This window comes from Homo sapiens, chromosome 17, assembly GCF_000001405.40.
Source record: "Homo sapiens chromosome 17, GRCh38.p14 Primary Assembly".
Lineage (NCBI taxonomy): Eukaryota > Metazoa > Chordata > Mammalia > Primates > Hominidae > Homo > Homo sapiens.
In genome coordinates this window covers 662435-687436 of record NC_000017.11, presented here as the reverse complement: position 1 = coordinate 687436, position 25002 = coordinate 662435, and the positions used below count along the sequence as shown (strand labels likewise).

Below are 25002 nucleotides of genomic sequence, written 5' to 3'. Positions count from 1 at the left end.
GCCCGGCTAATTTTCTGTATTTTAGTGGAGATGGGGTTTCCCCATGTTGGCCAGGATGGTCTCGATCTTCTGACCTCATGATCTGCGTGCCTCAGCCTCCCAAAGTGCTGGGATTACAGGTATGAGCCACCGCACCTGGCTTTTTTTTTTTGAGCTGGAGTCTTGCTGTGTCACCCAGGCTGGAGTGCCGTGTTACGATCTCTGCTCACTGCAACCTCCGTCTCCTGGGTTCAAGTGATTCTCCCTGCCTCAGCCTCCCAAGTAGCTGAGATTACAGGCGACCACCACCACGCCTGGCTAGTTTTTATATTTTTGGTAGAGACAGGGTTTCACCATGTTGGCCAGGCTGGTCTTGAACTTCTGATCTCAGGTGATCTGCCCACCTTGGCCTCTCAAAGTGCTGGGATTACAGGCGTGAGCCACTGCGCCCAGCTAATGTAATTTTTAAGTATTGTGTAGATGAGGTCTCGCTATGTTGCCCAGGCTAGTCTCAAACTCCTGGCCTCAAGCAATCCTTCTGCCTCAGCCTCCTAAAGTGCTGGGATTACAGGCATGAGCCACCACATCTGGCCTAGAATAAATGTATTTTAAAACACCTTTTTTGCACAATGTTGGGCTCACTCATGTTTAGTAAATGGCAGGAACACCAGTGCTGCTGATACACAGTCCACTGGAATTTCAGTTTTCCTAGTTCCGTGCATCCAGGTATTTGTCGAGTTCCTGTGGCTTTTCCGTCAGCTCCATCAGCTCCTCTCCAGCCCCACTGCTGTGCTTTAAAGCAACTCCAGGTTTACTTGTTCTGAATTATCCCAGGCCCCTTACTGCCTTCAGCGTGCTGTTCTCTGTGAATAAAAATGGCGGCACAGCTTACCTATGGTCCAGAATATCTGCTGTGGCAACAGTGGTGGTCAAAGGTTCATTTCTCTTGTCCTGTCTTCAAGACCTCCATTAGATGTTTGCCTGGCGTGACATGCAATATCACCCTATAGTTAAAATAAACATTCCACTTGACAACAGAATTTATTATTTGTATTGTTTTTGAAATTTGAGACTGCAGATAGATTTTTTTTCATTTCTAGTTTTTATAACTTCCAAATTCTTCTTTTTTTTCTTCTTAGAGACAGGGTCTCACTCTGTCATTCAGGCTGGAATGTAATGGCAGGATCGTAGCTCACTCTAGCCTTGAACTCCTGGGCTCACGTGATCCTTCCACCTCAGCCTCCCAAGTAGCTAGGACTACAGGTGCACACCACTATGCCTGACTGTTTTAAAACACTTTTTGTAGAGATGGAATCTCACTGTGTTGCCCAGGCTGGTTTAGAACTCCTGGCTTCAGGTGATCCTCCCACCTACGCTTCCCAGAGTGCTGGAATTACAGGCATGAGCCACTGCAACCAGCCAATTCTCTTCTCTCTCTGTTTTTTTTTTTAGAGACAGGGTCTCGCTCCAGGGTCATCCAGGCTGGAGTGTGGCGTGCATAGCTCACTGTCTCAAACTCCTGGCCTCAAACGATCCTCCCACCTCAGACTTCCAAGTAGGTAGGACTACAAGTGCATGTCACCATGTCTGGCTAATTTTTTAATTTAAAAAGTTTTTTTTTGTAGTGATGGGGTGTTCCTTTATTGCTCTGGCTGGTCTTGGACTCCTTACCTCAAGCGATCTTCCTGCCTCAGCCTCCTGAGTGGCTGGAATTACAGGTGCAAGCCACCACACCTGTTTCCAGATTTTTCTCAATCATACACATGCTTCTTAACTTGCAATGAAGAATAAGTTCTTATTCTGATAAACCCATCGTAAGTTGAAAATATCCTAAGTTGAAAATTTATTAATACATGTAATTTACTGAACATCATAGCTTAGCCTACCGTGCCTTAAATTTATTTGCTCAGAACACTTACATTAGGCTACAGTCAGGCAAATCATCTAACACCGAGCCTATTTTATACTAAAGTGTTGAATAGCTCATGTGATCTGTTGAATACTGTACAGAAAGTGAAAAACAGAGTGGTTGTATGGGTACCCAAAGTATGGTTTCTACAGAATGTTTCTCACCTTTGCACCATCGTGTAGTAAGAAAATTCTGTGTTGAACCATCCCAAGTTGAGGGCCGTTGGTATATTATTTTAGAAGAAAAGTATTTTTGGATGCCGTATTGTAATGAACAGAAGGAACTGACACCTGGGTCACTGCAGGGAGCCTTTGCTGCCTGTTCAACACCGGTTTCCAGACCCAGGCTCTTGGAACTGCAGTCTTCCCTTCCTGGCTCTCAGACTCAAAGCTGCCCGCTTTCTCCACTCCAGCTGTTTGTGTTGAGTACATCTGTCTTTTTGTTTTCTCTGTCTCTCATTGCATCTCTAAAGCAAGGCAGTTTTTACGCCAAGATCATCAGGACTTTTACAGGTATTGGGATCTGTTTTCCTTTATTAGTCTTTTTTTTTCCTTTTTTTGGAAACAGAATCTAGCTCTTGTTGCCCAGGCTGGAGTGCAGTGGCGCGATCTCGGCCCACGGCAACCTCCGCCTCCTAGGTTCAAGTGATTCTCCTGCCTCAATCTCTCGAGTCGCTGGGATTACAGGCGTGAGCCACCATGCCTGGCTAATTTTTTGTATTCTTTAGTAGGGACGGGGTTTAATTATGTTGGCCAGGCTGGTCTCGAACTCCTGACCTCGGTGATTCACTCGCCTCGGCCTCCCAAAATGCTGGGATTACAGGTGTGAGCCACCGCGCCCGGCCAACTTGTTGATTTAAGAAAAGAAAAAAAGGAAATCTCTGGGACTTTGATTGGGATTGCGTTGAGTCTATAGATCAATTGAAGGAGAATTGACATCTTTACAATATTAAATCTTCCAATCTATGAACATGGAATATTTCTTCATATATTTAGGTCTTTAGTTTCTCTCAACAGTGTGTTTTAGTTTTTAGTATATAGATCTTGCTCATAGTTTGCTAGATTTATACTAAATATTTTGTGGTTTTTGGTATGATTATAAATGGTATCTCTTAAAATTTAAATTTCCAGTTGTCTCTTGCTAGTTGTGGAAATGTAATTGATTTTTATTTATTGACCTTATATTGTGCAGCTTTGCTGAACTCACTTATTAGTTTCAGGAATTTTTTTTTTGTAGGCTTTTGGGATTTTTAAAAAGTAGATAATCATCTCACCTATGAATAAAATATTTTTTGCCTTATTACTCTGGCTAGGACCTACAGTGTGATATGGAATAAAACTGGTGAAAGTGAATAGTTTGCTTTGTTCCCATGATATAGTTGGATTTAAATCTAGCATCTTGCTTGTTTTCTGTTTGTTCTTGTACTTCCTTGTCCTGGGTCCACAATATGCATCTTTATCACAGTCATATTGTCACTGATGTCACAGTGATGACATTGTATCACTTCACATGTAATGTGAGAGTCTTTTCATAGCAGGCTTCTGACCTCTTCCTCACATCCTCTCTGCATTCCACTCTGCCCCACATCTTGTTTTTACGTATTATGAACACCATCACTGTTGCTATTTTTGCTAATTAGAGTAATTAAAAATAAATTTTAAAAATATTTTTATTGTTTGTCAGTTTTCAAGTTTCTACATTTATTTTATATTTTTAGAGATGGGGTCTTGCTATGTTGCCTGAGCTGGCCTCAAACTCCTTGGCTCAAGTGATCTTCCTGCCTCAGCCTCCTGAGTAGCCGGAGGCTATTGGCGTGTGCCACCACACCCAGCTATTTTATTTTATGTTTGAAGAAGTAAATTGTATTGTGTATATGTAAGGTGTATAACATGTTATAGGATACATAAAGACAGTAAAATAGCCTGCAGAGAAGCAAATGAAGGCATTTGTCACCTCACATAGATCTCATTTTTATCTCCTTAGATCTGAGTTTTTTCTGTACCATATTTGTTCTGCCTCATGAACTTCCTTTAGTGTTTCTTATAACACGGTCTGCTGGCAAGAAATGCTCTCAGCTTTTCTTTGCTTGAAAAGTTTTAATTTTGCTTTTATTTTTTAAAAATATTTTTGCTTGGTTTAGGACTCTAGGTTGGCAGTTTTGTTGTTTTATTTTTTTTTAGTACTTTAAAAATGTCAGTCTTTGTCTTCTAGCTTGCATTGTTTCTGAGAAGTCAACCCTTATTCCTCTTGGGATCTCAGCACTTCTTGGATCAGTGGTTTAATGCCTTTCACTTAAAAAAAAATTCTCAGCCATTATCTCTTCAAATGTTTCTGTTGTGTTCTCTCTTCCTCCTAGAATTCTACTTACATGTGTTTTAGAACATTTAATACTGTCCTGCAGGTGTTGGATTTTCTTTTCTTTTTTCCTCTTTGTGTTTCAGTTTGGGTACTTTCTATTGACCCACCTTAAAGTTCACCAATCCTTTTTTTGCTGTGTCGAGTGTGATGAGGCTGTTGAAGGAATTCTTCAGCTCTGACACCATGTCCTTTTTTCTAGCATTTCCATTTGACTCTTATAATTTCCTGCTCTCTGCTGCAATTCTTCATCTGTTCGTGCAGGTAAAACACCTTTTCTACCAGATTCTTTAGCATATTATTCATTGTTATTTTAAAATCCCCTCCTCTGTAGCCTATCTAATATTTATACCAAATGGCTCCTCTTTGAGACAGGTTCTGTTGGTTGCTTTGTCTCTTAACAATGGGTGCTTTTCCTTTCTTCCCTTTCTTCTTTTTTTTCTTTTTTGGCGTATATATGTCTTAAAATTTTTTATTGAATGCCAGGCATTTTGTGTAGAAGAGGAGAGAGTGCCCCCATTTTTTCCTCATGAACACCCAGTGAAGGTCTTGGAAAAGAGCCTGAGAGTGGGTGCAAACCCACCTGTGCTTACACTTTCCAGGCCTCCCTACCATTGCGCCAGCCCACACTTGGCCTTTAGTAACTTGTTAAAAACTTTCCTTCAGCCCTCTCGCCTGCTTGTGTGGCACCCCCGTCTTCCTTACATGCCCTTCTACATGGAGACGGTTCTCCTGTCCTGTCTTTCCTGGGGGAGCACCTTCCTTCTTGGATTTCAGGATGCTTGGTTACCTTTAGCTCTCTGCTAGGTTCAAGAAAAGTTGTGGTTTTCAGTTTCCGTTTTCCTCCTTGTTAGTGTAAGAGCAGCACTCTTTCTGCTTTCTGCATCCTCGGCAGAAGCACAGCTGATCAGCGGGTTTCATGCAGCATATAGTATGGCAAGTTCATTAATTCAATTTCAAATCCCACACTGCAGCTAATCCTCAAGAATCTACCACTTTTTGAGTTTTAGTGTAGTTTAAAAAAGGCTTATCACCAAGTACCTGAAAAGGGCTGCTGTGTTTAAAGTGTTCTGTTCTATGAATTGCAGCTGAATAGACTAAGAAATGGGTATTAAAATATTTCTTCCTTTTCTAATTACATATATCTATGTGAAGCCAGATTTTCTTCATATTTTCAACCAAAACAGCATGTCACAGCACAGGAATGTTGGTATCTCCCACGATTCCTATGCTGGAACTTAATCCCTATTGTGACAGGATTTAAAAGCAGGGCCTTTGGGAGGTGACTGAGTCACAAGGGGTCTGCCCTCATCTGTGAGATCAGTGTCCTCATAAAAGACTTTTGAAGGATGGCCATTTGCCCCTTTCCCCATGTGAGGACACATAGAAGATGCCGTCTGTGAGGAAAGGGCCCTCACTGGGCACCAGATCTCCTGGTGCCTCCATCTTGGACTTTCCAGCTTCCAGGACTGTTAACAATTTCTGTTGTTTAGAAATTACCCAGTTTAAAGTATTTGGTTATATTAATAGCAGCCTAAATAGACAAAGAGTTGGGTATTAAAGTATTTCTTCCTTTTCTAACTACATATATCTATGTGAAGCCAGATTTTCTTCATATTTTCAACCAGAACAACAGATCACAACAGATTCAATATGGAAGCGTGTATGGGAGTCCAGCTGGTGTTTATCAGAGCAGACACTAAAGATTTTTGCAGAGACACCCCAGCAGTGCCACGCTTCTCAAGAAATTTGTTTTGTAGGCCGGGCGCAGTGGCTCACGCCTGGAATCCCAGCACTTGGGGAGGCTGAGGCAGGCAGATCACGAGGTCAGGAGTTCGAGACCACCCTGACCAATATGGTGAAACCATGTCTCTACTAAAAATACAAAAGTTAGCTGAGTGTGGTGGCATGCACCTGTAGGCCCAGCTACTCGGGAGGCTGAGGCAGAAGAATAACTTGAACCCAGGAGGCTGAGGTTGCGGTGAGCCGAAATTGCACCACTGCACTCCAGCCTGGGCAACAGAGCAATATTCCCTCTCAAAACAGAAAACAAAAAACAAACAAACAAAAAAACAACTTTGTTTTGTCTGGGGGGAAAATATAGTTATTTTTCAAAAAACATGTAATTTATGCTAACATGTAATATATTTATCATTGTCATGTTTAAATGGATTAACAGATACATATTTTTTATTTAAACTCCTCAGTTTTAATCTCCAACATTGGTATATGTCAGTAGATATAACCTACATAAACCCTTTCAATAAATTTCCAAGGGTATAAAGAGATTCTGAGGTCAAAAAGTTTTAGAAATGCTCTTTAGGATCAGCTAAGAGTGGGAATGGCAGGCAGTTTGTTCTTGATTTTAATGACAGGCACTTTACATAGTGTATCTGTTCATTTGCTCACTCAGTACATATTTAGTGAGTGCCTTCTGTGTGGTTGGCACTATTTTAAGCATTGAGAATTACACAATGAAAAAAGCAAAAGACACTTCTCTCCCGGAGCTGACACCAAGTGTAATGTTGTCTTGTTTCCCGATTCTTTTGACTGTTAAGGAGAGATCTTCACAATCTTGGTCACTAAGCACTTTTGCCAGAAAATAGACGTTGGATTTTATCATATGCCCTCTCAGCATGTACTGAATATAGTCATAGGGGTTTTTTCATGTTGTTGATTTGTTTAAGTTTTTTTTTCCTTCTTTTTAAAATATTTAACCTTTCATAAATGCTTGCTGGGTCATCGTGTATTGTCTTTTAAATATATTGTTGAATCCTAGTATTTTTATCTGGGATTTTGATTCATGTTAAAAAATGAAATTAGTTTGACATTTTCTTCTTTTTGGTTATCATTGTTAGATTTTGTATCGGGTTTATGTCAGTTTTTGTTGTTGTTATTTTGAGACGGAATCTCGCTTTGTCACCCAGGCTGGAGTGCAGTAGTGCGATCTTGACTCACTGCAACCTCTGCCTCCTGGGTTCAAGCGATTCTCCTGCCTCAGCCTCCCGAGTAGCTGGGATAACAGACGCCTGCTACCATGACCGGCTAATTTTTGTATTTGTAGTAGAGATGGGGTTTCACCATGTTGGCCAGATTGGTCTTGAACTCCTGACCTGAAATGATTCACCCACTTCGGCCTCCCAAAGTGCTGGGATTACAGGCGTGAGCCACCGCGCCCAGCCATGCCCAGCTAAATTTTTGTATTTTTAGTAGAGACGGGGTTTCACCATGTTGGCCAGGCTGGTCTCGAACTCCTGACCTCAGGTGATCCACCTGCCTCGGCCTCCCAAAGTGCTGGGATTACAGGTGTGAGCCACCATGCCTGACCTTTGTCAGCTTTATAAAACAAACTGGGATGCTTCCCATTTTTTGCAACCGCAGAGACCATTTAAATAGTAAACTGTTTCAGAGAGTCAGACTATAGATAATATACCCTGAAGTCCCTGAAGTCTTTGAAACAATTGACCCATTATCAAGGTCAAGTGCCTTTTGGGAGATTGGTTTCTTGGCAGCCTTTTCTGTTATTTCTGTGGTTATAGTTACATCTTCCACTTCTTGAGTTGATTTTAGTAAGTCCTTGTTCTTGAAAATAATTTTACTCAGATGTTTAAGTTTATTCATCCTTTCCAATTCTCTGTTTATATTCTCTTTCCATTCTTTTTGTTTTGTTTTGGTTTTTTGAGACGGAGTCTTGCTCTGTTGCTCAGGCTGGAGTGCAGTGGCGCAATCTCGGCTCACTGCAAGCTCCGCCTCCTGGGTTCAAGCGATTCTCCCGCCTCAGCCTCCCAAGTAGCTGGGACTACAGGTGGCCGCCACCACGCCTGGCTAATTTTTGTATTTTTAGTAGAGATGGGGTTTCACCGTGTTGGCCAGGATGGTCTCAATCTCCTGACCTCGTGATCTGCGCGCCTCGGCCTCCCAATGTGCTGGGATGACAGGTGTGAGCCACCGCATCTGGCCTCTCTTTTCATTCTTAATTTTATGTTTTCTCTTTCCCACACCCCCAATCCTAGATTAAAACAGCCAGAATTTCTTTAGGCCTTCTCAGAGGACTTGCACTTGGATATATTTGTCAGTTCTCCTCTTTTCCTGTTTCAGTTCATTACTCTGTACCTTTATATTTTACTGCTTTCATCTCTGTTGTCTTTATGCTCCTTCTACTTCTTGTTATGTAAGAAGAGCGCTTAAAGGTACGGCTTTTCTCTGAATGCCACTTTGGCCACATCTCCTGAGTGTTAAAAATGAATTTTTAATGGCGGGGGCGCGGTGGCTCACGCCTGTCATCCCGGCACTTTGGGAGGCCGAGGCGGGCAGATCACGAGGTCAGGAGATCGAGACCATCCTGGCTAACACGGTGAAACCCCGTCTCTACTAAAAATACAAAAAAATTAGCCAGGCGTGATGGCGGGCGCCTGTAGTCCCAGCTACTTGGGAGGCTGAGGCAGGAGAATGGCGTGAACCCGGGGGGTGGAGCTTGCAGTGAGCCGAGATCATGCCACTGCACTCTACCTGGGCGACAGAGCGAGACTCTGTCTCAAAAAAATATATATATATATATATTTAGCCAGGAGTGGTGGCACATGCCTGTAATCCCAGCTACCCGGGAAGCTGAGACAGGAGAATCGCTGGAGCCCAGGAGGCAGAGGTTGTAGTGAGCCGAGATCGTGCCACTGCACTCCAGCCTAGGCGACAGAGCGAGACTCTGTATCAAAAAAAATAAAAAAGAATTTTTATTGTTTTTATTTTTATGGGTTTTTTGTTTTTGTTATTTTGAGACAGAGTCTCACTCTGTCACCCAGTCTGGAGTGCAGTGGCTTGATCTTGGCTCACTGCAGTCTCCACCTCCCGGGTTCAAGCGATTCTCCTGCCTCAGCCTCCCAAGAAGCTGGGACTACAGGTGCCCGCCACCATGTCCAGCTAATTTTTTTGTATTTTTAGTAGAGATAGGGTTTTGCTATGTTGGCCAGGCTAGTCTGAAACTCCTGACCTCAGGCAGTCCGCCTGCCTCATTTGACCTCTCAAAGTGCTGGGACTTCAGGCGTGAGCCACCGGGCCTGGCTTTTTTTCTCTCTTGAGACAGGGTCTGGCTGTGTCACCTCGGCTTCAGTGCAGTGATAAAATCATGGCTCACTGCAGCCTCGACCTCCCAGGCTCAAGTAATCCTCCCACCTCAGCCTCCTGAGTAGCTGGGACTACAGGCACTCGCCACCACGCCTGGCTAATTTTTTTTGTATTTCTCGTGGAATCCGGGTTTTGCTGTGTTGCCCAGACTGGTCTTGAACTCATGGGTTCAAGCGACCTCCTGCCTCAGCCTTTTAAATGTTGGGATTACAGGTGTGAGCCACCACACCTGGCCTGGTTTTTTTTCTTGGCAAGTAGCTTGGTGTAATTGATGATGCTTTTAAAAATTTTATTAAATTTCATTTTAGTAAATATAACCTTTTTCAATTTTTTATATGGCTATATTTTAACAGCATTAGTGAGCTATAATTCACATATAATTCATCTATTTAAAGTATACTGTTCAGTGGTTTTTGATATTACATTATTTTTTAAACCTTGTAAAATATGTATATAATATAGAATTTATTATTTTAACATTTTTAAGTGTATAATTAGTGGTATTAATTACATTCATAATGTACAACCACCACTACCACTATTTCTGAAATTTATTCATCACCCCAAATAGAAACTCTGTAAACATTAAAACCATTAAGTCCTTCCTTCCCCTGCCCACTTTCCTCAACTTCTTGTAACCTCTATTTTACTTTCTGTCTCTATGAATTTGCCTATTCTGGGAACTTTATATTAATATAAGTGGAATTCTACAATATTTGACCCTTTGTATCTGGTGTATTTCACTTCTGTGGTCTTCAGGATTCATCCACGTTGTAGCATGTATCAGCACTTTCTTCTCTTTTACGGGTGAATAATATTCCGTGGTGTAGTTCCACCACATTGTGTGTATCCATTCATCTGTCCATGGACACTTGGATTGTTTCCACCATTTGGCTTTTGTGAACAGTGATGCTATGAATATTGGCATACAAATACCTGTTTGAGTTTCTGCTTCCGTCCCTTATGCTGTGTACCTAGGAGTGGAATTGCTGGGTCACATGGTAATTTTTAATCATTGCAATATTTAATCTCTTTAGAAACATTTTTCCATATTGTTCTGAACTTTCATAGATTCATTCTTTCCATAGACTCAGGTGCATTAACACAAGCGTTCTGTTTTGTCTTCATTTAATTAATATAGACAACATGTTTCTGATTAGCAAGAATCTTAAGCTTTTGTATGTAGTGCCTACTCATGGAGATGTTCTCTCCCACAAAAAAAAAAAACCACCCTGATTTTTTCTTTTATTTAGTTAACTAGTCCAGCAGTTGGACTGTTTCCTTCCTGACCTTAGAAACGCCAAGTCCCGCTTTTCTGCAACATGATTATTGAAAATAGTTTTAGGAAAATACTGCGCCAAGAAAGAACACTGAAGTTTATTGTTCTTCTGAGCCATCTCCATATAAATTGGCAGGTTCTTCTGAGCCATCTCCATATAAACTGGCAGTCTTCAGGAGCCAAGAAAGAAGGTCAAGCGTAACTCACCATCTGCTTATTTCCATGTTAGAGGCAGTCACAAGTTTAAACTAGACTCTGCGTCTCAAGAGGAAAATGCCATTCATCACCACTGTAACTGCTCTGGCTAGTACCCAGGTCACTCTTGCTTTTGATTGCTAGTAGTTAGAAATCGTGTAAGGAAAATTCCATCCTCAGTTTGAGGCTGTGCATTAGAAAAATTGCGGAATTACTGCCAACAGAGCAAAGCCTTCTGGATTTCAGGTCCTTGATACAAGAAGTCACTGAGATATGTTTGTACAATGGATGGGAATTTGGCTTTCTGTCTTCATGGAAGAACTTGGCCTCCTTTTTCCTCTTCCCTCTTTCATCCACGGAAACAGTATTTAGAAGAGCACAGATTCAGCGTTGTGGTTGTGCCGTCACCATTTCCATGTGTAAGTCTCCATTTTCAAGAGTCTGTAACTATAAAATTTCCTTTGCTCCAATTTGGACTCCAGGGTCTCCTCTGGAAGGAGATTAGTTTTGCAAAACCAAAGATAATACATCTGTTTTGGCTTGGCGTTTTGTAGTCATCTAGATTAAAGCTCTAAAATACATCAGAAACTTGTCGTCCTCCGTATATTATTGGATCCCATGCCGGGGTTTCTAATTTCTGTTTCTGTATTGCATCGTAGACTCTGAACAGATGCTGTGTTCGTTTCTAGGTATTGTATGTGATACCTGGAATATGGATGTTAGGCAAAAATGTATTAGTGCCACTTTCATAATGACCCCCAATTTGGAGGGGGGCATTTCTTCTGGAGATATACTTACTACCAAGTAAGTTTTTTTTTTTTTTTTTTTTTTGAGATGGGAGTCTCGCCCTGTCGCCCAGGATGGAGGTGTGATCTCAGCTCACTGCAACCTCCGCCTCCTGGGTTCAAGTGATTCTCCTGCCTCAGCCTCCTGAGTAGCTGAGATTACAGGTGCCTGCCACCACACCCGGCTAATTTTTGTATTTTCGGTAGAGACGGGTTTTCACCAGGTTGGCCAGGCTGGTCTCGAACACCCAACCTGAGGTGATCCGCCCGCCTCTGCCTCCCAAAGTGTTGTGATTACAGGCGTGAGCCACTGCACCTGGCCCCAAGTAAGTTTGATGATTCAAATTCTGTCTTTAAAGCAGGAGAAAAGGTGTATTTGAGGGGTCTTTACCCCATCTCAGACCGAATTCTTAACTCCTGTCTCCTTGTTGTACTTGAGCTTTTCTTGTTCCTAGTCACAAGGGAACGGTCGCGACAGACAGCCCTCTCCTACTTCCGTGATAACCGTAGAATTATCAGCTAGGCAAAGTGCTACTTCTAATAAGTCAGAAATTTAAACTTTTTTTTCATTGAAGACTTAGAGATTCTAGTCTTTAGAGATTTCTGGTAACTAGTGTCTTGTGGGCAGGTTCTAGGACCGTTTGTCAGCCCTGGAATTTTCCAGATCTCTGTAATTAAGGATGTACTGTTTTAAGGCTGATCTGTTCTTGATTCATTCACTGTAAGCAAAGACACATTTTCAGTTGCTTTTGCAGAACATAACATTTTGAGTCATTTGTCTTGATCTGTAATGCTAATGTTTTATTACACTATAAATGTTTACCTTGCAAAATATTGTTGCATATATTACTTTACTTGATTTACTCGATTCACATGTTTACAAAGATGTGTGAATTAGGCCACGTAGATGCTGTTCTCCCCATTTTACAGATGAAGAGATGGCCCGCATCAGTTCTGTGACGTGCCCAAAATCACACGAAGCGAGTTAATCACAGACCCAGATTTTCTCATTCGCAGTATGCTGCATACTTGTCCATACTAAATTATCTTTAAACAGTGACAAACATTTAAAAGCAGATTTGGGAGCCACCTGTTTTGCTGTGGAGCCTGGAAGGCTGATTCATAAGGAATTTCAAATAATGGCAGTGACCATGGCCTCATTAGCCAGCTTGGTCCCCCTCAGTATGACGAAGAAACTGGACTGAGAGAAGAACCCCAGGTTGAAGAGAACTCTCTGTGTTCTGCACACCTGTGCTGCCGAAAATACAGACACCAGTGAGGCCCTAAAGAGAGTAAGCGAACCAGGAAGAGAAAAAAATCACACAGATGAATCCTCGCAGCCTGAAGGGCATTTGGCACAGAAGGTGTCTCAAAAAGTCAGCTGAGGGAACATCCAGATGTCACGCAAAAGGATGTTTTCTCCTGAATGAAGACTTACGATATAGATGAGAGTTATGAAGTGACTAAAATGAGAAGTAATAGTAAGATATGGGGAATTAGAATGAAGTCAATAACCTCGAACTTGGCAACTGGAAGTCCTGGCTATTTGGGAAAAGTAGTCCTTTGTTAAACTTGGACAAGTTGTTCCTTTTAATGTGCCCCATTTCCAAAAATATTGAATTTCTTTACCTTTCATTCAGCAAAAGCAGCAGAAACTTTTGCTTAAACGTTTCCTTGTCTTTTGCCACTTGGAGGTGTTGCTTGAAATGCTCTCATCCTCCGGGGTTACCTTTCGTCAAAGGAAGCTGCATGAACGCATCCGTCACTCGCAGCTATTTCAGGGCTAGCTTGTTTTAAGTTAGGGGTGATAACAGATATAGGCAGAACTTTGCAATGTAAATGTTTAGTCTTATTTGGGCACTGCTGAATTTGTTTCCGAGCCTCGTCTTGTGATTTTAATTTCTGGCTTGTCTCCTGAAAACAACAAAAATGAGCTCTTTGGTTCACATTTTCAGTGGCTTTGGTTTGCAGAAATCATAAATAAAAGTAACTTACATGGAACAGAACATTTTAACAAACAAGGTGAGAATTACTCCGTTTGCTCTTTACAGTCCTTTGGTTTTTGGTTCACAAACTTGGAAAGAAATCTGTGCTTTAAATAAAGCCTTCTTATACTCCAGGTTCCTAAGTGGTGTGGAGGAATTTGTGTAAACATCAGTGATTCTCATCTGATGGGCGCCATCTGGCATTTGACCAGGGCAGTCCTGGTTGAGTTCTCGGACACGTAGGGAAGCAAAGAGCTGTAGACGTGCAGCCATCTGTGGCTGTGAGAGTCCGACAGCCTCTGCTGCTGTTGAGCACCATCATGGGGAGTGGGCTGCGTTGTTGGCATTGCTGAGGCTGGGTGTGTGAGAGTCCCGCAGCCTCTGCTGCTGTTGAGCACCGTCGTGGAGAGCGGGCTGCATTGTTAGCATTGCTGAGGCTGGCTGAAGCACCTCTGTTTCAGCTGGGGATACCTCGTTTCCATAGCAACAGCTCTCAGTGATGCCGGGGTGGTCAGCAGTAACAAAAGAAGAGACTTTCTCTAAAGAGAGGCGACTTGACCCTTGGTGTCCACCCTCAGTGGATGTGGTGAGGGCTTCCGTGTAGGGCTTATCAGATGTGGTAGCACTCATCCATGTTTCTGCTCTCTGGAGGACCTCCTGGCTTTCGAAATGATGCTGCCGTTGTTTTTTTTTTGTTTTTGTTTTTGTTTTTTTTTTGCGACGGAATCTTGCTCTGTGCCCCAGGCTGGAGTGCAGTGGCACAATCTCGGCTCACTGCAAGCTCCACCTCCTGGGTTCACGCCATTCTCCTGCCTAAGTCTCCCGAGTAGCTGGGACTACAGGCGCCCGCCACCACGCCCGGTTAATTTTTTGTATTTTTAGTAGAGACGGGGTTTCACCGTGTTCGCCAGGATGGTCTCGATCTCCTGACCTCGTGATCCACCTTCCTCAGCCTCCCACAGTGCTGGGATTACAGGCGTGAGCCACTGCGCCCGGCCGCTGCCATTCTTTATTCATCGCTCTTTGTATCATTTTGTGTATAATTCAGACATGTATTCCTTACAAGCCCTTTAAAGATACATTCCCTAGCTAGTGATCTTTTTCTCTCAGTATCTAGCACAGTACATGTAATAGGCACTCACTTTTTAATTGAATGAATGAACAAAAGACTTCAATTTTTTTCTGGAGAATGTCTCATTTTCAGCATGGTTCAAAGATTCCATCCTCTTAATCCATGAGCCGTTCTTCTGAGTCTGCCTGCAGATACTGAACTTAGCCATCTTATTTACAAAGCTCTAAAAGATGAGTAACAACCTCTGATTCTTAGAGGGTAGTCTCATCTGAAATATCCTACTCCATCTAGGAGATGTGGGAATACTAATAGTTGCCATTAAGTGAGCACTTTCTGTGAGCTGAGTGCTTTATAAACTCATTCAAGACTCTCTTGGTTGCAGAAGACAAAAATCCCAATTCAAACGGGCTTAGGCAAAAGGGGGATTATTTGGAAGGATCCTGTTGTGTCTCGTTTGAAGAAGTTCAACAAGTGTGACCGCCAGAAGGATAGCGTCTCAGCTGGGCTTGTCAAACAGCTGAAGCCAAAGACGGGAGTAAAGCTCAGAGAGAGAGAGAGAGAGAGAGAGAGAGAGAGAGAGATTGAGATTGTGTGAGAGAGAGATTGTGTGTGTGTGTGTGTGTGTGTGTGTGTGTGTGTGTGTGTGTCACCCTCATCATCTCTACCTGTAGTCCAGCCTCCTGCCCTTCCTGGGGAACCTAGCTGCTCTCTAACTCAGTTTCACTTCTTGGGACTCCTACCACCCGCGAAAGACAAACTCTTTTTCCCAATTCTCATTCTGGTGGCTCACGCCTGTAATCCCAGCATGTTGGGAGGCCGAGGTAAGCGGGTCATGAGGTCAGGAGATGGAGACCGTCCTGGCCAACATGGTGAAACCCCGTCTCTACTAAAAATACAAAAATTAGCTGGGTGTGGTGGCGGGTGCCTGTAATCCCAGCTACTCAGGAGGCTGAGGCATGAGAATCACTTGAACCCAGGAGGCGGATGTTGCAGTGAGCTGAGATCATGCCACGACGAAGCGTGACTCTGTCTCAAAAAAAAAAAAAAAAAGTCATGGGAAAACTGCTCCAACGAGGGCCTGGTCAGCTCTTGGACAGCAGACTCTGTAGAAACACGGTGAAAGGAAGATTTCGCATGCGGAGGGGAAGAGTGTTGGGTAAACGATTCCAAACATATTTTCTACTCTCACATTCCTTACTACCTTTCAGGTAGCTGATAGAATTTGCATTCTGGAAATTATGAAACTACTTCCTAGAGGATAAGAGGCTTGACAGAAATCACACAGTAACTGGCAGAGCCAAGGTTTGAATCCCAGTCTGCTAGTTGAAAATCCCTTGCTTGTAACTCATACAGCATGTTGCTCCCTCCCTCCCTCCCTCTTTCTCTTTTCTTTCTTTTCTTTCTTTCTTTCCTCTTTCTTTCCTGTCTCTCTTTTCTTTTTTTCTTTTTCCTTCCTCCCTCCCTTCCTTCCTTCTTTTTGTCCCTTCCCTTCCCTTTTCCTTTTCCTTTCTTCTTTCTTTTCTTTTCTTTCTCCGTCTCACTCTGTTGCCCAGGCTGGAGTGCAGTGGCATAATCTTGGCTCACTGCAACCTCCACCTCCTAGGTGCAGGCGATTCTCCTGCCTCATCCTCCCCAGTAGCTGGGATTACAGGTGTGTACCATGATGGCTGGCTAGTTTTTGTATTTTTAGAAGAGACGGGGTTTCACCATGTTGGCTAGGCTGGTCTCTAACTCCTGACCTTAGGTGATTTGCCTGCCTCGGCCTCCGAAAGTGCTGGGATTACAGGCGTGAGCCACTGCACCTGGCCCAGCACGTTGCTTTTCCATATAATAGAAAAGGGAACCAGCAGATAGATGTCAAGTTGGAAAACAGAAATGGTAGCAAAATAGTGGAAAAATCTAATTTTCTCCCCAGTAACCGTGAATAATAGCACCTTATTTTTTCACAGAATAGTCTAAAGCCATACCAGCTCTTCGGAAAATGAACAACCTTTCCTCCTTCCTGCAGTGGCCACAAAGGGGATCTCGGTTTAAAATCTCTGAAAGGCTGCCTGCGGACTCACAGGATAAAGGCAGCATCATTCTCTGATGGCGCAGACTGCAAAATTAGATGGACCTGAGAGCCAGAGGGATGCTCATTTCTTAAGGCACTGCCAATGAATCAGAGCCCCTCTGTCTACTAACGTGGCAGACAACAGTTCTGCAAAAAAAGGAAAAAGAGAAAGAAGAAAGCAGGAGAGTCTGTGCCAGGTTCCATACTCCTTATCTTCCACACGTGACCTCCTGTGGCTTTGAGAGCCTGCTCACCGTCTCCTCCAGGAGGCAAGGAGAATTCAGAGTAGTGGTTACCATTAGGATGCACAGAAATACAAAGATGCTGGAATTGGTTTTGCTGAGCCTTCTAGGCTAATTCAGTGGGTTGCTTTTCATCTCCTGTTTACAGAATTTGAGTCTTAAAAGAGGAGCACGGCAGTCACCGCTTTATAACACCGTCAGATACAGGCTGTGGCTCCAGTGCCCAGTTCACCAGTGCCCAGTTCACCAGTGCCCAGTTCACCAGTGCCCAGTTCAGAAACTCCAGTAGGGGCAGATTAAACACAGTCGCCGCTTTATAACACTTTAGGATGCAGGCTGTGTGTGTATAGAATTTGAGTCCTAAAAAGGGCCACAACAGTCACTGCTTTATAACACCTTTAGACGTAAGCTGTAGCTCCAGTGCTCCGTTCAGAAACTCTAGTGGGGTAGATTAAATGCAGACATTTTTGGGAGTGATTAGTTCTGTTTTTAATCCACATACAGCTTGGAATGGAAAGTAGCCACCTTTTAATTTTTTTATTATTACTTTTTTTTCTTCTTTTTTTTTTTTTAGATGGAGTCTCGCTCTGTCACCAGGCTGGAGTGCGATGGCACCATCTCAGCTCACTGCAACCTCCGACTCCCTGGTTCAAGTGATTCTCCTGCCTCAGCCTCCCGAGTAGCTGGGATTACAGGCATGCGCCACCACACCCAGCTAATTTTTGTATTTTTAGTAGAGATGGGGTTTCACCATGTTGGGCAGGATGGTCTTGATCTCTTGACCTCATGATCCACCTGCCTCAGCCTCCCAAAGTGCTGGGATTACAGGCATGAGCCATCGCACCTGGCCTAATTTTTTTTTTTTTTTTAAGACAGAGTATGTCTCTGTCACCCAGGCTGGAGTGCAGTGGCGCAATCTTGGCTCACTGCAGCCTCCGCCTCCTGGGCTCAAGTGATTCTCATGCCTCAGCCTCCGGAGTAGCTGGAACTATAGGCATGTACTAGCACACACAGCTAATTTTTTTAGTATTTTTAGTAGAGACGGAGTTTCGTCATGTTGGTCAGACTGGTCTTGAACTCCTGGCCTCAAGTAATCCACCGTCAGCCTTGCAGCGTGCTGGGATTATAGGTGTGAGCTACTGCCCCCCCGGCCAACCACGTTTTTATTTTAAAAAGTGTCTAGGGACAGTGCCAGAGTGATTCTTTCAGCACATTTCTGATTAGCCAGGTAGTGAAGGTATTTTTGTGTTTCTTAAAAAAACCTTAACTTCTTGTAGGACCCATGATTCTTCCAGTTGCAAAACAATCTTTCTATATGACTCATGATCAGAGGTTAGATGTCAAATATTAGGGTGTGTGTTGAGAATGGACTTGCCTGATAGCACCAGTGCTTCAGAGGAGTTTTTAAACTCTGCAAAATGAATTATAGTACATTTCCCCAACTTCAGTACCTTATTAAAACAAGCAAAAGTATTCCAGCCCGAAAAAAGTCTGGCACATAGTTTATCTATCTTGGAGACTGTGACATGTAAGATTGTGTGAGTCTTATTTGTTTGCTGGAAGAAAAAAGCGATACCTTCAGCAGAGACAGTTCTGGTAGGATGCCAGGTTTAATGTAAGAGAGAAAGGGATAGAAACCCTTTCTCTGAGATAGGATCATGCAGACTTCTTCATATGTGAGACCTAAGTGTATAACTTAGCCCCTTTTTTGCCTTTCTTAGCTGCATGTCATATGTTTTAGGGTGTTTGTCTAGAACACAGTAGCTATGGTCCCATTAGCATGTCACCATAACATGACATGACCTGCAGTATCACAGAATTCCATGTGAGCTGTGTCGAAAAAGATCAGTCCTTTCTAGTGGTCAGTTGCCTACAGAGGCCTCTGTTGCACTTTTTACTCCACGATTGAAACTTTTTTAGAATTTACTGATCCCATGTAGCATCTTGGATATTAGACTCTGTTTAAGCCAAATAGAGAATACTTACAGAAAGCATGAAGCTGTGATTTTGAACCACTGCTCATGGTTGGGCCTGAAGTTAGAGGAATGGTTATGAGCGCACTTATTCAGAGCGGTAGCCTCAGCACCAGCACTCTTACAGGTGCACCATGATACTTTTAATCAGTGGGCAATATTTGTCAAGGTCCCACTGTGCCATAGCCTTGCTTAGGTGCTGTAGGTGAGGTGACCATATGATTTATCACCAGAGTCACTTTGAGAAGGAGAGGGAGCTGTTAATAACTATACTGAATCATAAACGCAGCGTGTCCCCGGTAAACCAAATGGATGATTGGCTCAGCTATGGGCTCTATAGGAGTGCTGTTCATATCCTTGGTCCCCATTCTAAAGGATACTTATAACCCTGCTAAAGGGCTAATACTCATACACTAAACCAGTGGTCCCCAACCTTTTTGGCACCAGCGAGCAGTTTTTTGGAAGACAGTTTTTCCATGGACCAGGGAGGGGGACATGGTTTCAGGATGAAACTGTTCCACCTCAGATAATCAGGCCTTAGTTAGATTCTGTTAAGGAGCTTGCAACCTAGATCCCTCGCGTGTGCAGTTCACAGTAGGGTTCGCGCTCCTATGAGAATCTAATACCGCTGCTGATCTGAGGAGGGGGAGCTCAGAAGATCATGCTCACTCACTTGCCCACCGCTCACCTCCTGCTGTGCGGCCCAGTTCCCAACAGGCCACGGACTGGTGCTGGCCCACGGCCCAGGGCTTGGGGTCCCCTGCACTAAACAATTCAAGAACATTATGTTTAAAAAAGTCCTCTTCTGTAATTAACCCATTGCCCCCCCCCCCAGAACATTATGTTTAAAACAGTCCTCTTCTGTAATTAACCCATTGCCCCCTCCGCAGAACATTATGTTTAAAACAGTCCTCTTCTGTAATTAACCCATTGCCCCCCCCAGAACATTATGTTTAAAACAGTCCTCTTCTGTAATTAACCCATTGCCCCCCCCAGAACATTATGTTTAAAACAGTCCTCTTCTGTAATTAACCCATTGCCCCCCCAAATAAATTTCTCTCCTGCTAAATCACTCCCAAGCAGACGTATGCAAGCATTTCTCATCTTTAAAAATTACTCCCTTTACGCCATCTTTTGCCCTATTTTTCTTCCTTTCTCATAGCAAAAACTTCTTGAAAAAAAAAGTCTATACCAGGGTCAGCAAGCTTTCTGTTAAGGGCTGGATAGTAAATATTTTAGCCTTTACTGACCATATGGTCTCTGTTGTAACTATTTATCTCTGCCATTGTGTGGCAAAAGTCCCCATAAACAATACTTAAACAAATGAGTTTGGTTTAAGTATTATTAATGAGTTTCGGTCCAAAAACACATTGTTTACAAAAACAGGTGGCAGACGTGGCAGACTGGCTTCAGCCCACAGGCCATCATTTGTGGCCTGCTCTGTGATCACAGCCTCTACTTCATGTCATCGCTGTCCATTCCCTTGACTGCATTGAGACTGCTCTTGTCAAGGTCACCAACAACTTCCCTGTTGTCAAAATCAGTAGCAGCTGTCTTCATTTTTTTTTTTGAGATGGAGTCTTGCTCTGTCGCCTAGGCTGGAGTGCAATGGCACCATCTTGGCTCACTGCAGCTTCCGTTTCCTGGGTTCAAGCAATTCTCCTACCTCAGCCTCCTGAGTAGCTGGGATTACAGGTGCACACCACCATGCCTGGCTAATTTTTGTATTTTTAGTAGAGACAGGGGTTTCACCATGTTGGTCAGGCTGGTCACAAACTCTTGACCTCATGATCCACATGAGTTTTTTGTTGTTGTTGTTGTTTTGAGATGGAGTTTTGCTCTTGTTGCCCAGGCTGGAGTGCAGTGGCACGATCTTGGCTCACTGCAACCTCTGCCTCCTGGGTTCACGCGATTATCCTGTCTCAGCCTCCTGAGTAGCTGGGATTACAGGCGCCTGCCACCACGCCCGGCTAATTTTTGTATTTTGAGTAGAGACAGGGTTTCATCATATTGGTCAGGCTGGTCTTGAACTCCTGACCTCAGGTCATCCACCCGCCCTGGCCTCCCAAAGTGCTGGGATTATAGGCCTGAGCCACTGCGCCCAGCCTCTTACATGAGTGTTTAACAACAGAAGGCACAATCACTCTTTCCTTCTCCTTCAAACACTTCTGTTTGGCTTCTGTAACACCCATCGTCCCTGATTTTTTCTCATGTCACTGGTGGTTTTTCTCTGCATCTCTGCTTTTTTTTATTTTAGACTTCTGAATATTGGCATGCCCAAGGGTCAGCCCTGTGCCATCTTTTCTTCTCTTGTGTATTCTGTCTTCCTAGGTGACTTCTAATCTTACAGACTTACATATCATCTCTAAAGTAATGACTTCTGAATTTAAATCCCAACCTATCACCTCTCTTCCAAGCTCCAGAATCTTATGTCCAACTTAATGTCTCTACTTGATCTCAAGTAAGCTATCTTTTTTTTTGGTCGGGACAGAGTTTTGCTCTTATTACCCAGGTTGGAGTGCAGTGGTGCTATCTCAGCTCACTGCAACCTCCGCCTCCTGGGTTTAAGTGATTCTCCTGCCTCAGCCTCCCGAGTAGCTGGGATGACAGGTGCCCGCCACCACGCCCATCTAATTTTTGTATTTTTAGTAGAGACGGGGTTTCACCATGTTGGCCAGGCTGTCTTGAACTCTTGACCTCAGGCGATCCGCCCGCCTCAGGCTCCCAAAGTACTGGGATGACAGGCGTGAGCCACCATGCCCAGCTTACTGTCTGTATTTCTACCAACACTCCGGTCACAACCATGAAGTAATTTCTAAGAAGTTCCAGACTTTCTCTACATTTCTGCTTTTCTTCTGAGCCCTTAGCAGAATCCCCCTTAGCACTCTGTTCACAGCAATACAGGCTTTTTCCAGCCTTCACTTCAAGACTGTTCCACATCTGTCCATCACCCAGCTCCAAAGCCATGTTTTCAGGTATTTACTATAGCAGTAGCCCACTTCTTGATACCAGTTTTCTTAGTCTGTTTTATGTTACTGTAACAGAATAGTACAGACTGAATCATTTATAAAGAAAAGAGATTTCTTATAATTCTGGAGGCTGGGAAGTCCAAGGTCAAGGGGCCCACATCAGGCAAGGGCTTCTTACCGCATCTTCCCGCGGCGAGGGCTTTCTCACTGCGTCGTCCCGCGGCGAGCGCCTTCTCACCATGTCGTCCTGCGGCGAGGGCCTTCTCACTGCGTCGTCCCATGGCAGAGTTGGAAGGCAAGAAAGTGTGTGCATGCACGAGAAAGTGGCTGAACAGATCCTTTTATCAAGAACCCACTCCCGAGATAATGCCATTCATTTGTTCGTGAGGGCAAACCCCTCATGACCTGGTCACCTCGTAAAGGCCCCACCTGCCAACACCATTGCATTGGGGATTATGTTTCCAACACATGAACTTTGGGGATGCATTCCAGCCATAGCACAGGCACCCGTAACGTATTGCAGATGGGACTCTTCACTTCCAGCCCCGCCACCACCACACACACCTGCCTGTCAAGCCCGTCCTCCTCCTGCATTCCCTGGTTCAGACAGTGAACCCTGGCCTTGGCTTTTCAACCAAAACCCGGGCGTCATCCTTGGTTCTCCCTCTCCCTCATCACCCACACACAGTCCATCAGTGAGTCCTACACATTGTACCTTCCTGGAAACCCTGAATCGCTCGGCGTCTTCCCGTCAGCACCGGCTGCCTCTTCTAGGCCTCCACCGTCTCGTGGACACTGCAGCAACTTCTCACAGAGCTTTCACTCCCGCTTTCCCTCCTGCCCCTGCACAGCCCCTTTGCCACACAGCAGCCAGGACAGTCTTATACAAGTAAGCCATACATCTGTCCCTTGTTTAGACCCTTCAGTGGCTTCTCATTGGCACTTAGAGCAGAATCCTTATGCTTTGAGGCCTCCGTGCTCTGGCTCGTGCCCACCTCTCCAGATTATTTCCAGACACTTCCCGCTGCAATATTGCACTACCACCTACTGTCTGTCTTTTCGGACCTCCAAAACACCGAGGTCTTTTCTCTGTCAGGATCTTCACATTTGCTTTTCTCTCTGCTGAAAATCCTCTTACTCCAGGCTGGGCGCGGCGGCTCACGTCTGTAATCCCAGCACTTTGGGAGGCCGAGGCGGGCAGATCACGAGGTCAGGAGATCGAGACCATCCTGGCCAACACGGTGAAACCCCGTCTCTACTAAAAATACAAAAAATTAGCCAGGTGTGGTGGCAGGTGCCTGTAGTCCCAGCTACTCGGGAGGCTGAGGCAGGAGAATTGCTTGAACCTGGGAGGCAGAGGTTGCAGTGAGCTGAGATCACGCCACTTAACTCTAGCCTGGGCAACAGAGTGAGACTCCATCTCAAGAAAAAAAAAATCATCTTACTCCAAATCTACAAATTCTCACACCTCCTCATCCTGCAGGTCCCGATTTGTGTGCCCTTTCTCAGGAGACCTTCTGTGACCACCATCTCCCTTATTCTCATCACTGCATAAGTCCTTCACCACACCTGTCAATTCACCACACTTAGGAATTATCTTGTTTCTTTATTTTGTTGTTTTTCCAGGATCTCCTCCCCCTTACTTCTCAAAGTAAGTTCATTCCTTGAGGACAGAGAGAGAGACCATACTGTCTTGTTTACCATTGGATTCCCAATGCCTAGAATCATGCCTGGTATATGGGAGGCATTCAGTAAATACTCATTGAGTGATTGAAGGAGTGAATTAAGGAGATGCTGACTCGTGCCTAGAACTATAACTGCCTCAGGAATTCATAGTCTTTAGTCACGGACAGTCCAGTGCATGTGGTCTATACACATCCGTGGCCTGCTGACACGCTCACAGACACTTTAGCTGTAGGTAGTCTTTACTCACGGACGGTCCAGTGCCTGTGGTCTATACACGTCTGTGGGCTGCTGGCACTCACAGGTACTTTAGCTGTAGGTAGTCTTTACTCACGGATGGTCCAGTGCATGTGGTCGATACACGTCTGTGGGCTGCTGGCACTCACAGGTACTTTAGCTGTGGGTAGTCTTTACTCACGGACGGTCCAGTGCATTTGGTCTGTACACGTCTGTGGCCTGCTGGCACTCACAGGAACTTTCTGGTCTCCACATGTCACAACTGCCCTCATGTTGCTTCCCCTCCTAGCAGAAGCTGCAGCTGTGTTGTAATACTTTCATTGTGTAGCATCTGTCCTTGTAGGTTTTTATTTCAGTGGAAATGCTGGGCTCACCATTAGCTTTTTGCTTGTTTTTTTGAGACAAGATCTCGCTCAGTCACCAGGCTGGAGTGCAGTGGCATGATCACAGTTCACTGCAGCCTTGACCTCCCAGGCTCAAGTAATCTTCCCACCTCAGCCTCCCAAGTAGCTGAGACTACTGGTGTGCGCCACCATGCCTGGCTAACTTTTTTTTTTGCAGAGACCGAGTCTTGCCATGTTCCCCAGGCTAGTCTTGAACTCCTGGGCTCAAGCAATCCTCCTGCCTCAGCCTCTGAAGTGCTGGGATTACAGGTGTGAGCCACCATTAGCTTTCTGCCTGCCTGCCTGCCTGCCTGCCTGCCTGCCTTCCTTCCTTCCTTCCTTCGTTCCTTCCTTCCTTCCTTCCTTCCTTCCTTCCTTCCTTTCTTTCTCTTTCTCTTTCTTTCTTTTTTTCTTTCTTTCTCTTTCTTTTTTTCTTTCTTTCTCTTTCTTTCTTTCTTTCTTTCTCTTTCTTTGTCTCTCTTTCTCTCCCTTCTTCTTTCATTCTTTCTCTTTCTTTTCTTTTCTTTCCTTTTGGAGTCTCGCTCTGTCACCCAGGCTGGAGTGCAGTGGCGCAATTTCGGCTCACTGCAAGCTCTGCCTCCCGGGTTCAAGCAATTCTTCTGCCTCAGCTTCCTGAGTAGCTGGGACTACAGGTGCGTGCCACTGTGCCTGGCTAGTTTTTTGTATTTTTAGTAGAGATGGGGTTTCACCGTGTTAGCCAGGATGGTCTTGATCTCCTGACCTCGTGATCTGCCCGCCTTGGCCTCCCAAAGTGCTGGGAT

General features: G+C 44.3%; 1 protein-coding gene across 9 annotated transcripts in view, besides 2 other annotated features; it reads left to right on the top strand.

The window, feature by feature from the left end:
• Nucleotides 1–25002, top strand: part of VPS53 (VPS53 subunit of GARP complex) — a 206172-nt gene that overhangs the window by 27403 nt on the left and 153767 nt on the right. The gene's annotated exons all lie outside the window — the stretch shown is intronic.
• Nucleotides 10774–11068: a silencer, noted in NCBI's record as "tiled region #15051; HepG2 Repressive non-DNase unmatched - State 15:Elon". NCBI's record gives its function as "represses a minimal TATA promoter and a strong SV40 promoter by Sharpr-MPRA in HepG2 cells {active_cell/tissue: HepG2}" and the evidence as "EXISTENCE:reporter gene assay evidence [ECO:0000049][PMID:27701403]".
• Nucleotides 13914–14208: a silencer, noted in NCBI's record as "tiled region #8461; HepG2 Repressive non-DNase unmatched - State 15:Elon". NCBI's record gives its function as "represses a minimal TATA promoter and a strong SV40 promoter by Sharpr-MPRA in HepG2 cells {active_cell/tissue: HepG2}" and the evidence as "EXISTENCE:reporter gene assay evidence [ECO:0000049][PMID:27701403]".